The sequence below is a fragment of the Homo sapiens genome, chromosome 10, assembly GCF_000001405.40.
Source record: "Homo sapiens chromosome 10, GRCh38.p14 Primary Assembly".
Lineage (NCBI taxonomy): Eukaryota > Metazoa > Chordata > Mammalia > Primates > Hominidae > Homo > Homo sapiens.
This window is the reverse complement of record NC_000010.11, coordinates 87275897-87290333: the sequence shown is the minus strand read 5'-3', so window position 1 is coordinate 87290333 and position 14437 is coordinate 87275897. Positions and strand designations below refer to the sequence as shown.

Here is a 14437-nt window from a genome sequence, read left to right as displayed (position 1 = left end):
CAACTGCAGGCCTATGTGTCCAACTTCCTTCTTGACTCCTCCACTTGGATGAATAATAAATAGCCACCTCAAATATTTTAAAGTCCAAAACAAACCCTTCATTGAACTGTTTGTTCCCTCTTTTCAACCATGCCTTGTCCATGTGGACACCCCCACCCCAAAAGTCATCCTTGATTTCTTTTTCTTTACCCCCTCTGCCCACATCCAACCCATCAGTAAGTGTTGTCAGTTCTACTTCCAAATTATGTTTTTAATGTTATTCCCATTTCTCAGTTCCACTATCACCACCACGACTATTTCTTGCCATAGTCTCATTTCTTGCCATAGTCTCCTAAATGGTCTCCCAGTCTCTAGTCTTGCTGTCTTATAAATTCCTCTCCACTCAGTAGCCAGAGTTATCTTTCATAAAATATAATTTTAATTTTACAAAAAAAATACATGTGCAGAGTTTAAGCAGGCAGAGTTCAACAAATGATACCACCAAAAGGAAACAAACAAACAAGACATACCAATACCTTCCAGATAAATAATTTTTAATGGCTTCAGCTCAGAGTTATCTTTTCATTTGTTTGTTTTTGGTTAGGTTTTTTGAGGTACAATTTGCATAGAGTAAAATGCAGCAATTCACATATTTAGGTATACATTCCAGTGACTTTTGACAAATAAATTCAGTCATGTAACCACTATGATAAAAATATAGAATATTTCCTTTACCCATAAGATATAGATGGATATAGATATAGATATAAAAGATACAAGGTCTCCTTCTGTTGCCCTTGAACTCCTGGGATCAAACCTCCTGCCTCACCCTCCCAACTAGCAGGGATTACAGGTTTGAGCCACTGTACCCGTCACCATAAGTTATATTTTAATACATTAACTGAATCATGTCAACTCTTTAGGCAAAAAGCCTTCAGTGACTTTCTTCTAACTTAGAATAAAATTCAAACTCTTTGTCAGGGTCCTTGAAGCCCTACAAAACTCACTTCCATTTACTTCTCTGAACTCCCCTAATAACAAGTCCCCTCACTCAGCAGGGCCCTGCTAAGGAGTTTCAATCTGCTTCATGGACGTTCAACCTGCCTCTCCCCTTGTCTGGAATGATCTTCCTCTGATGTTCCATCCACCTTACTTTTTCTGATCTCTTTATTCAGTGTAGCTTTCAATTCACCTCAAGTAAGTTATTAATTATTTTATCCTGTTTATTTCTTATCACAATTTGGGATAATTTTGTTAATGTATCTTTTTGCTTGTTTATGTCTTAGACCACCAGAATGTAGCAAGATAAAGGCAGGACCTTGGTCCATTTATGCAACACTATATTCCCAGCTCCCATGATATTATCTATTCTACCACACAGAGGGTTCTTCATATTAGGTTGAACTATTTGGAATTACCCACATATGACCATTTTTAACCTACAAGAATGGCGATTTCATATGGTTCATTTGGTTTATAAATACTTGCTGAATAAATGAATGAACTGAAATTTTGAGTTGATGCCACCAGGAAGAGAATAGACAGTTATATTTGTGCACAGTTAGAAAGAGTTCGCTGTCCTGAGTTCACTTGATCACTTTTTATCCTAAATTGCCACCCGCTACCGTCGTCGTCTTCCACATAATAATTTTCTATTAGGAAAATTATTCATTAAAACAGATAACATGGGTCACTTAAGTGTAAAACTTAAAGGTAACACTTTTTTAAGGAAATCTACCAGAAGAAAATCTTTTTCTAATTTTTAAAGTTTAATGAAACATAATTTACATACAATGTAAATGGCTAATAATTTACGTACGATAGCTAATTTTTAACTCTTCATGTTTTTTTGTTGGCAGGCAACGTGTTGGACCTTCCGGAGCTTCTCAGAAGACAGAGGGTTTTCTTTTGAGGTAAATTTGATAGTACATTTTGATAGTACAGGAGGCGATACGGCATGGTGACAGAAAAGCGCCGGCTTGGTTAGCGGGACCACCTGGCAGGGCTGCAGGCTGTGCCACTTACCAGGCAGGGGACCTTGGGCCAGCTGCTTGGCCTCACTCACCCTGTTTCCTCAGCTGCAATTGGGATGAACAGACTGCCTGCTTCGGGGTTGCCTAAAACTCACATTGCTTAATGATGTGAAATGCTTAGCGCAGTGCCTGGCATAGAGAGAATTCTCATTAGATGATACCTCAGCTGGGCTTTAGGAGCTACAGAAGAAGCTGCATCTCCATGAGCTCAGCGTGTTTCTAGCTTTCCTTTTTGTTTTCTATTCAACCTTTCACCCAACTCAGCTTCTCAATCCCTAAATGACAAAGGTTTGGGAAGGAAGACTTGGACCGATGCTTGCATTTGTTTCTGAGAATTAAACGTTATGTTTTCTTCAATCCAAATAGGTTTGCTTGTACAGCCTTGTTCAATGGTTTTTTTTTTTTTTTTCTCCATGATAAATGACTCTCAACTTCTTTTCCCTCATTTAATTGCTTATCTACATACAATGCCTGGAAGGAAATAAATGTAATGGCCCGTAGCAGTTGGCCTTCAGATATCAAGTTTAAGTCCCTTTAAGCAGAACAGCAAATTGAGCACAGAATGAACTGGTTTCATGGTAGCGTACTGCAATTAGATGCAAGAATAGGGAAAGCAGGGTGCTTCAATTGGTGACACAATTAGTATAGCACTGGGGGACTTCTCTTTCCACTTCTTCAACTCCGCCTGCATTCCGCTGGCTGAAGAGTTGATGACATCCCTGAAAAATCTTCCCTCTCTTGTTTCTCTGATGCCACCTCTGTGTTCTCCGCCTCACTGGCCACACTTCCTTTACCTCCCAAACTTTTAACTCTGAGTGTCCCAAACTTGTCTCATCACCTACCCCTGCTGCCCAGCTCCCCAGCCTGTTCCCCTTCTGACACGGGCACTCTCCTTCTGCTGTCTTGGGAGAGAAACAATGAAGGCCTAGTTGGCACTTTTATTTCTATTCAAGGAACCAGACTGTGAACAAGTTTACCATTTAGTCCTTTGGACTGTGTCTTGAATTCATCCCTCTTCTCCATTCTCACCAGCACCATCATCATGATGGCTAATATTTCCTGAGCACCTTTCATCCAGGCATGATGCCAGGTGCACCAACTTACTTAATCCTCATAGCCACCACCTGAGCAAGCTCCTGTTTTATAAATGGACCAGTTCTTGTTGCTATTGTACAAGTTATTTTCTTTCTATAACGTCCTCCTTGTCCTCCTTCCACATTCTTAAAGAAACTTGCCCTTCCTTTAAAGTACTCAGGGAGCCCTGCATTGCTTCTTGAAGCCTTCTCCAGCTTCATCATCTCACAGTGGTCTCTCTTTTCACTAAATGTCCAATATGCTGCACATAAGTACCCCAAAGTTAGCACAGAATTGTTCCATGGCTGTCATATATGTTAAAAATCATTAAAAGTTCATTTTTTCTCTCATTATGGGAAGGATACATGCTCCTACTAGTAAATTTAGTAGGTAGAAAAAAATTATCACTATCTAGACTGCTTTCCATTTAGTCTTTATGCATAGCTTTCTGTCTGCCTATTTTTACCTTGTGTTTGTAACTTACTATTATAAAATATGCGTCTCTGTGCATTGTCAACATTATTTACAATAACATGGAGTGGATTGACACGTATTCTCTATATTTGGATTAAAGGAGATAGAGTATGTGAAATTAAATGGGAGAAGTATCTGATACATAACAGGCAATACAAATATTATCACATAGCGTCAACTTATTTGTGAATATTGAAAGCTCCAAAAAAGAAAAAAGGTTTTTTTTAATTCCCGTAATCACTTATTGCAGTATTGTGTACATACAAAGTGCTCAATCATTTTGGAGGAATAACAATTTTTTTTCCTCATCATGAAGTAAGGTATGCTCACTGCAAAAAATCTAGAAAATAAAGAGGAACATACTAAAGAAAAGAATACTCCCATATAATCTCTGTCTTCATAAATAATCTTTTGTAACACTTATACACTGCTGGTGGGAATGTAAATTAGTTCAGCCATTGTGAAAAGTAGTGTAGCAATTCCTTGAAAAACTTAAAATAGAATTACCGTTCAACCCAGCAATCCCATTATTGGGCATATACCCAGTGGAATGTAAATCATCCTGCCATAAAAACACATGCACATGTATGTTCATTGCAGCACTATTCACAATAGCAAAGACATGGAATCAACCTATATGCCCATCAGTAGTAGACTGAATAAAGAAAATATGGTACATATTCACCACAGAATACTAAGCAGCCATAAAAAAGAAAAAGATCATGTCCTTTGCAGCAATATGGATGGAGCTAGAGGCCATTATCCTAAGCAAACTAATGAAGAAACAGAAAACCAGATACTGCATGCTCTCACTTATAAGTGGGAGATACACCATGAGAACACATGAACACAAAAAGCGGAAAAAGAGACACCATGGCCTACTTGAGGGTGGAGGCTGGGAGGAGGGAGAGAATCAAAAAACTTCCTATGGAGTACTATGCTTATTACCTGCGTGATGAAATAATCACTTTGAACGTGGTCAGTACATTATCTTCTAATCTAGACTCTTTTCTATGTTCTATATACACACAGAAATACACATGCAAAGCTGAACACATGTGTGAAACAAAATTCAGACACTCAAATTTTCCGCCAACACGTGATAAAATCTTGCACAATAGCTTCCTCCACAGAGGAAAATGTCTTTACTACATCTTAAAAATGGGGTAAATGAATAGTTAGGCTCTTCAGTGTAATAATCATGATAAATATTCTCAATATGCGAAAATACAAACAAAGGACTTTCTCTCCCAGCAAATTTAGACCCACATGAAAATTTAAGCACAATCATTTTAAACGAATTTATCCTGGAGCTTAGTGGTTTGAGTTCAAGGTTGAGGAGCAGTCTGGGGACATCAGCTCTTAATATTTTTCAAGTTTTGGAGCAAGTGGTTTCTAGGTTCTGAGTGAAGTGAAACAGAATCTCTAGGGGCATGTGGTAAAGATAATCCCATACTATGTACTGCGTAGAGTTAAAGAGAAGAGGCGAGAGCATGAAGATAAACCAGTACAATCAGTCGTTCACATACCACTAACTACAATGATACTCCCATTTGCTTCCTGTGAAGTAGTTACTAATAATCACTGATGTCGCTTTTTAATTTCATACATCCTTTAACTGTCTTCATATAGGTATTGAAAGAGTCAACATAAAAGCCACATCCATTTTCTAATTTTGAACAATAGTTAGAGAAACCTAATATCTTCTCATATTTTTGTCTTGCTTCTGTCTCATGAGTTCCCAAAATAGATATATTATCTGAATGAAGAGTTCATGGGCAAATGTCACACTTTTCTTGGTTTGGCTAATTATATTTCTGCTTTTGCTTAGAATAAGATTAATTTTCCTATTCTGCTAATAAACCACGTGATGGCAAAATGCCTTATTCTGAGAAAAGAAGCCTTTGGTATTTTAAAGAATTGGGAAGCTATTTCAGATAAGCTATCATATGCATGAAGATTAATTTATTCATATGAAATGTTCAATAACCAGAAAAGACTGTTTTAAATAAAACCATTTCACAATTAAGTTTTTTTTTGGTTATGGACAGTGATTTCTTCTAAGAAACAAAGCGCCTGTCTATATGAAGAATAACTAAAATAATGGTTAGCAAATATTGATTGGATCCAGCCAAGTGAGCAGCATTTTTGAGTTTACAGATGTGGTAACTTTGAACTATATTTACGTGCTTATAATGAAACCTTACAGTTGGAGTAATAGCTTTGTTCCTGAGTCTCATGAATATTTTCCAGCTCCTTTGTCCTAAATTTCTGCCTGACAATCATCCATTTCAAGGAATAAAAGGATATAATAAGTGATAAACCTATGCTGGAAATTTTTAATCTAAAAAGTTCACATACTGTTTCTAATAAACTGAAAACTATTAGAGAAAGATGGAGGTATTAAAACCTGTTAATAAGGAAATCAATGGCAACATATTTTAAATGGTTTTGAATTTTATAAAGATTTTCTTTTATAGCACTATGTCCTTTTTCTTTTCTTCTCCTTGTTTGATTTCCAACAGCTGAGCTATTTACTTGTTGAGTTATTTCATATCTATTATTCCATTTAGACCTTGAACCCTGTGAGGGCAGGGACTAACTTTATTCCTAGTGCCTGTCACATGATTTGAACTAAATAAGTATATTTTTCCAGCCTGCACTACTACGTACAATAAGGAGTTTCTTATATTTACTTGAAAATGTTTTCAACCTTCTAGGGATGACCTCTACTATTATTATTCCATTATTGACCTTTCTATGCTTATTATTGACCTTTCATCTTATTATTCTGATTTAGTAAGCAGATTTTATGTCTCCTTGTCCATACCATTCAAGGCTATCTAGATTTCAATTGTATCTTCAGATTTTTACCTTCCACATTGATGAGTCCCAATGTGAACCCTCCAAAGCAGGTTCCTACTGCACTCATCAGTTTCTTTGGTTGAGGGATAGTGACCACTATGTCCTTCTCAGAATGTTGGAGACATGATGAAATAAAGACGGTGATATTAGCCCCCTAACTGTAATCACTCATGCTGCTCCCACCCATGTCTACCCACTGGAACAGGGAGTGGTGGCATTGGGGTGGTACAGGGCTTGCCGAGGATGTTGGCTTATAGCTGTATCTCCAAACATCCAGAGCATGTCTTCTTTTTCACCTCTCCTTTAGAATCTGCTTCCTCGAACCATCCCTTTAAGTGCAGGAAGAAAGCTATTTTTAATGTGAAAATTACTGTTCCAGTTATCTCATGGTGGAAATTCTTAATGGGCTCTTACTTTGGGCATCTGTCTGGCTCTCAGTGCCAGTAACTTTCTTTTCTTCTTATCTTTGTTTTGTTTTGTTTTGTTTTAAAGATGGGGTCTCCGTCACCCAGGCTGGAGTGCAGTGATATGATCATAGCTCACTGCAGCCTTGAACTCCTGGGCTCAAGCAATCCTCCCACCCCAGCCTCCCAAGTAACTGAGACTACAGGCACCCACCACCGTGGTTGGCTATCAGTGCTAATAACTTTCTGAAGCTCCATGCCTTTAACTCCAGCGTTCTTTACTTAGTGTTTTGAAATATCTGCTGCCCACAAATCCTAGCACATTTCTGAAGTTACCAAGACTTTAAGACCTCCCATACTGCTTTTTCTCCCATCTTCCCTTCTCAGTGTTATTAGCCTCATAGTTTCAAGGGCCCAGCCCAGTATCCACCACACACCATATCCCATACGTACAAATACAGCATAGATAGTATTGAACATTTCATTTTTCACTTTAGCTTGGTGAAAATTAATATGTATTTAGGTATTTTATAGTTATGACTCTTAGTTTTGGGTTGTCTATCTGCTCCATCCTTATTTCTACCTTTAAATGCAGAGCTATTTCCACCAGCTTGAGATAAAAGAAGACAATAGATCCTAAGTCTTCCACTTGGTTCCCTATGGGTTTTGTTTGTTTGTTTGTTTGTTTGTTTTTGGTAGAGATGAGGTCTTACTCTGTTGCCCAGGCTGGAGTGCAGTGGTGCAATCATAGCTCACTGCAGCCTCAAACTCCTGGGTTCAAGCAATCCTCCTGCCTCAGGCTCTGGAGTCACTGGGATTACAGGCGTGAGCGACTGTACCTGGCTTCGATTTCCTGATTAAATTATTCTCTCTGCAGCTAGTTTCTTTATTCCAGCCTGAGTCATTTTCTTGCCCTGGGTGACATTTTTCCGTCTTGGACATCTGTCGTATTGAAAGCAAGTCACTTCATTTATGTCTGTCCTCGACTTCTGTTTGATACACTTCCCATGTCTCCAAGTCACAGTATTTCTGAAACAATTCATATTGCTTTTCATTACTAAACTTTTTTTCCAAAGTACTCCTCTGCAGCCTTCATTCCTGATATCTTTAAATTTATCTAGAAGGTCTTATATGCTAGATCTACATCTCCTTTAGACACTTATCATTAACCCAATTTAGGGTAACAGAAATTTTTTTTTACATTGAGCACTCTCACAGGTACCTACAACTGCTCACAGTGGTCCTAGAAAGGACATAAAGTAAATTGAAATGGACATCGTTTGGCAGGTGATTTTTGTATCCTTCCTGACGATGCTGGTTCAACTTTAACATACAGGTCTAATGTTTTTTTAATCCCTAACCCAATTAATAATAGAAAAGTAATACATATTCATTCTAGAGTATTTGGAAAATATAGCTAATCCCAACAACCAATCAGAGATAACTACTTATCTTTTTCCTTTCAGTCTCTTTTTATATACACATACACTTAAACCTATCTCCTTATCAAATTGTGATGAGTTATACACATAGGGAATTGAAATAACCAAATATTTCTATAATTCTTATAAGTAAAAATAGTAATAAAAATGACATTCAATTTTTACTTGTTGATTCCGGTGTGCGTTTTCCTCTTTTAAAATAGTTGTTTAGTTTTCCAAATTGGCCAGCAAAAACTTACTTAATTTATAAAGTTACTGAAATACTCTCTCTTTAAAAATGAAAAAATATGATATAATAATTTTAATGATAAAATGAAAAAGGTAATAAAATAGAAAAAATATTTATCTTGAATGTTGGAAATTGAGACAAAGCATATTCAATGTTCAATTGAATGACTATCAAGTGGTATCTGGAAAATTTTATAGAAACCTAGTATTTTTATAGATGTTTTTGAAAAGAAATACTGGTTATTGGGTTTACTTCACTCAAGAAATCCTTTTGCTTAATAGGGGTATATCATTAATACTAGTTAAGTGTTGGTTATTGTATTGTATAAGTGTTGGTTATTGTATCTTCACAGTGCTATAAAGAACTACTTGAGAATGGGTAATTTATAAAGAAAAAGAGGTTTAATTGACTCACAGTTCTGCAGGGCTGGGGAAACTTACAATCATGGCAGAAGGTGAAGGAGAAGCAAGACACATCTTACATGGTGGCAAGAGAGAGTAAAAGAGCAAGGGGGGAATTGCCACACCTTAAAACTATCAGATCTTTTGAGAACTTACTCACTATCATGAGAACAGCAAGAGAGAAATCCACCGCCATGATCCAGTCACCTCCCCCCATGCCTTTCCTCTAACATGTGGGGATTACAATTTGAAATGAGATTTGGGTGGGGACACAGAGCCAAACCATATCAGTTGTGTAGATTGAATATTGAAATATTGAAATCTTGAGTCATATAATGAATACTGAAATATATGTAATTCTCAAATTATGAACACTTAGCTGGCAAAGGTTCTTATATGTGAATGGCTCATTAAGCTTTGGATTTCCTTTCCACTGTGTTGCTGCCCTGGATGACAACACTGCTGTCCATACAGACAGCACCACCTATTGGCCAGCACCCAGGGCCCACTCTGAGTGATTTCCTTACCACCTTTCCTTTTTCTCAAGGTCCTCATGGCCCTGCAGTGCTTGAGTACTTGTCTTTGACTGCTGGGAATCAGTTTGTTTGGCTGAAGACTGTCACACTTATCCACACATTCTTTAAAATCCCTTTCTTCTTCTTACACTTCTCTTCCAAAGCTTGCCTGGTTACCTTAGTTGAATCTCACTCTCTCTCTCTCTCTCTCTCTTCTGTCCTTCCGTCCCTCTTCCCTTCCTTTTTCTTCCTTCCTCCCTCCCTTCCTCCCTTCCTTCCTTCCTTCCATCCTTCCTTTCTTTGAGACAGGGTCTTGCTCTGTTGCCCAGGCTGAAGTGCAGTGGCACAATCTCAGCTCACTGCAGCCTTTACTTCCTAGGCTCAAGCAATCCTCCCACCCCAGCCTCCCAAGTAGCTGGGACTACAGACGCGAGCTGCCACACCTGGCTAATTTTTGTATTTGTTGTAGAGACGGGGTTTCACCATCTTGTCCAGGCTGGTCTTGAACTCCTAGGCTCAAGTGATCTGCCCACCTCAGCCTCCCAAAGTGTTGGATTACAGGCATGAGCCACTGTGCTCAGCCTCTTTTACTTTTTTTTTCTTTTCTTTATTACCAAGCTTCTGCTTTGCTTCTTCCATTCTTCTTTCCTGTTTTCTAAGGGATTACTGAAGTGTTTTATTTTTTTCTCTTTTTCTTTTTTCTCCTCATACTGGTTTGGAAATTATATATTTTCTTTGCATTCTTTCAGTAGTTGCCATTGAAATATTTTTAGTTGAATATTTCATTATATTCCCATTCCATCTTTGTTTTTATATTTAGATTTTATTTCACCAAAAATTTTAAAAACTCATAGTTGAAAATATCAGATACTTCCTCATGAGCCTTATATCCCTCCTTCCTTCCCCTGAAACAATCATTTACATTTCTTTTACTGGTCATGTTGGTATCTACTTCCATGTCTCTAAAAAACATTCATTTCTCAATTTCTTATATTTCTCAATTTTCCAGTTTTTGGTATTATCTACTGACTTCCCACTCTAGAAAATGACTGCTCCCACCATATATGTGCCTTCTTTCCTCTTCACGCCCTCACAATACAGTCATATTATGTTTGCGTTTGATATCAAGCAATATATTTACATTAATATAACTATGCACAAACTGTTCACAGCTGAGCCATGTAGGAAACTATGATAAATTTTTCTTTCCTGAGCAGCTTTTTGCTTGCCCTGGAGCTAATTATCTTGTTTTACCATTTGCTTAGTTTTCTATGTACTTATCACTAATTTAATCCCAAATTATTTGCCAGTTCTCTAAATCTTCTCTTAAGCTACTAAGATGCATTGCTTTCATCTTCCTGACAAAATATGCTTCATTCTTCTGATGGCCTATTGGTCTTTATGCCTGATGCGTAAGACATAAAGCTGTCATCTTGGGACTTTCCCTCAGCATCATTCTGGCCTCACTGTCTTACTCTCCTACATGTGTCTCCCAACCTGGGTGTATGTCCTGGGTGTGTTGCCCTGATCTTCCACTTTATTGGTTTAATTTCTTGTTTTGGTGAAGATGGTAAGTTCTGGACAGCTTAGTTAGGGAACCCTGATGTTACTGCATTTAGGTTTTCCTCCTGGACTGATCAGGTAAGATTCTTCCAATCTCCTGTCAGAAGAGTCAAAGTCTGCTACTACTATTTTGGATCTGGGTCAAGCGAGATAGTGGAGTAGAGAGAGGTGGGCATTCAGTATGCATGCATTTTCTTAAGCTGGCTTTGTTCAGTACAGTGCTCCCAACTTCAACTCTGCTTGGGATCCCCAAGCAGGAAACCTGTTCTCTCTCTCCTGTGAATATGCTTCCTGGGAAAGAGAAGGGAAATAGAAGCGGTAGTGTACCTTTTCATGATTGGAAAGGATCTAGTGATCTGACTGCTTCTTAAATAAACTTTCAGCGCATCATTCTCATTTTAGTCTCTCCTCTTCACCACACTTCCAGAAGAATCTGATGCTGCCAATTCCTGACACTTGAAGGCTCTTGAGTGTAAAACAAGTTGCTTCTTGGCTTTCCTGCTGCTGGTTTAGTACTTTAATTTGGGAGTTCTGCTAAGTCTTTTCTCACTCATCCAATTTTCCAAAATTGTGTTATTATTGTTTATTTTCCCATGGCCCAGGACTTAAAAAAATTCACTGACAAATTAACTGGATTTGGGGAGGACCAAATTTGATGCATGTGTTTAATTTACTCCCTACATCTGGGAGCTCCATTAAATTTTTACAAGTATAACTTGACATAATAAAATCTAAATTTAATTAATGTATTTACCCTTCACCTCAGAAATACAAGGGCTTTAGAAACTTTCAATACTAATTACCCCATATTCCTTATTAATGTTTATTGTTTAAATTCTGCCTTTTAAATACCCTCCATCTCCAAATTAGCCATTGTTCCCCATTATTGTTGTGTATAAGAGTGCTTATTCAGATATAGCCAGATGTTTATACATTTCTTGGTCCACCATTTCTTCTTGCATGTGACTCCTTCTTTCTGGGTTCAGTGTCCTTACCATTGAAGTACATCTTTACTGAAGATGCTGTTGGTGTCCTGTCCAGAATCTCTTCAATGAGCTGGCGTACTCATCCCTTAGCTGCTGAGAGTGTTGGCTGCTAATAGTTCACACTCTTTCCCTGAGGATTCCATTCAAGCCAACAATTTCAGAAAATGCCTGGAAGGTAACAGCCTTCCCCCGTGGGTAGCTCACAGCCAATGACTGATTGATACGGGTGTACAGAACTGAGGCTCCAGAACTCCCTGTGGGATCAGACTGAGGCTAGACTTCAGCTAAACCCATATCTTTCCCAGCTTCTTTTCCTGTCCTATTCTGCTTCCTTCCTCGCTGTTCAGATTTCTTCTGAGAGCACTCCCTCAGGCAATCACTTGGACAGGAATCTAATTCTCAGGGTCAGCTGCAAGAGCCCAATCTAAGACAGTTGATAGCAGTAGTAGTTATATACACCTGAGTCTAAGGATGGGATTCTGGAGTTTGCTCACTCACCAGTGGTCCCATCAGAATCTCTTCCCTGAAGATAGTCTCAGATGTGCTCCTGCAGTGAAATTGCTAACACTTTTACTTGTAGTGAACCAGGACAGCATATAAGTAGAAGCGAATGCATTAACTTCTGTGATGTATCTAGTATTTGAGAGTACAGGTGGAAAAGTAACTTGAAAGATTGTTGAATTGGGAGGGTATTGGTAAGCACCATTGATGCACTAAGTATAGATGCCAGGATCAAATCTATTAACCACCAATTTAAACCCAAGTGTGAGAGTCAAAGGGCCTCCATGGAAGCCTTTAAAAAGTCCCTCATCACTGGCAGCCAGAAGGCCAACTGAACTGAAGCCCAGGTGCAGCCTGTACTTATGAGTGGCAGAACGCCAGAGAAGGTTAATTCTCAGCCTGTGTAAGTCTCCTTCAAGAGAATCAGGGTCCTGATTGGAAAAAAGTGGGAACATGAGAATTGGAATGGGGAAACTTATTAGACACACTTAAGGACCTTGGCCTCCCAGCTTCTCCGGAATATCTGGGCCTACAGAGGTGGCCCACTCCCTTGCTGGAAGATGGAAGACCTTCTCCTTGCTTGAAAACTATAAGCTTCGAGTAAGTCAAGTGTCTTACAAAACAATGTTGGTCCTGCTCAGAATCTACCCCCACTTCTCTCCCCGATACCAGACAGTATGAGGACTAAGTTTCAGTATAATCCAACTGGGTAAGTACAGTGTCTGTTAAGGGAGGGGAGGATCATATGGCAAAGGCACTGCAGGATCTGGCTGACTTAAGCCAGCAGGACCCCAGAGAAAATGCCTGGAAGTGGATCCCAAAGATGCTGGATCAAGAATGGGGAATAGGAAGTCAGGAAAGGGACACTTTGTTGTTATAGTAATACTGTGCAGTGACATAGGATTTGACACCCTGGCAATGACCCTGGAATGACTGTTAGAAGCTTGGCTTTCCTAGTATTTCTGTGACATTAATCACATTTTAATCACAACTTCCATATCTGTAAAATGGAGGACTGGGACAATATTGATTATTTTTAAAAAACTGTTATTTTAGGTTTGGGGGTACATGTGAAGGTTTGTTACATAGGTAAACTCATGTCATGGGGGTTTGTTGTACAGATTACTTCATCACCCAGGTATTAAGCCCAGTACCCAATAGCTATCTTTTCTTCTCCTCTCCCTCCTCCCACCCTCCACCCTCAAGTAGACCCCAGTGTCTGTTGTCTCCTTCTTCACATTTGTAAGTTCTCATCATTTAGCTTCCACTTATAAGTGAGAACATGTGGTATTTGGTTTTCTGTTTCTGTGTTAGTTTGCTAACGATAATAGCCTCCAGCACCATCCGTGTTCCCACGAAATACATGAACTCATTCTTTTTTGTGGCTGCACGGTATTCCATGGTATAAATGTACCCAATTTTCTTTATCCAATTTGTTGTTGATGGGCATTTAGGTTGATTCTATGTCTTTGCTACTGTGAATAGTGCTGTTGAATATCAAGCAGCTATGGAATGCCTCCAGAAAGCACATAGGAGTTTGTTATCTGAAATTCAGACACTGCATGCACAAATGAATGGTAGGAAAATGACTCCGAAAAGTGAACAAAAGAATGAGAAACCAAGCCAAGATGAACATTTGCATGCACGTGTCTTTATGGTAGAATGATTTATATTCTTCAGGGTATATACCCAGTAATGGGATTGCTGGGTCAAATGGTAGTTCTGCTTTTAGCTCTTTGAGGAATCACCACACTGCTTTCCACAATGGTTGAACTAATTTGCACTCCTACCAACAGCATATAAATGTTCTCATTTCTCTGTAACCTCACCACCAGCATCTGGTTTTCTTTTTTTTTTTTTTTTTTTTTGACTGTTTAGTAATAGCCATTCTGACTGGTGTGAGACGGTATCTTCATAGTGGTTTTGATTTGCATTTCTCTAATGATCAGTAATATTGAGCTTTTGTTCATG

At 38.6% G+C, this 14437-nt stretch overlaps 1 long non-coding RNA gene across 1 annotated transcript in view; it reads left to right on the top strand.

Moving 5' to 3' along the window:
- NUTM2A-AS1 (NUTM2A antisense RNA 1) overlaps positions 1 to 14437 on the top strand; it is a 103892-nt gene that overhangs the window by 52225 nt on the left and 37230 nt on the right. Inside the window, exon 4 of the long non-coding RNA NR_024397.1 lies at positions 1839 to 1892. This is a non-coding gene — a long non-coding RNA (NUTM2A antisense RNA 1). The remainder of the gene's footprint in view (positions 1 to 1838; positions 1893 to 14437) is intronic.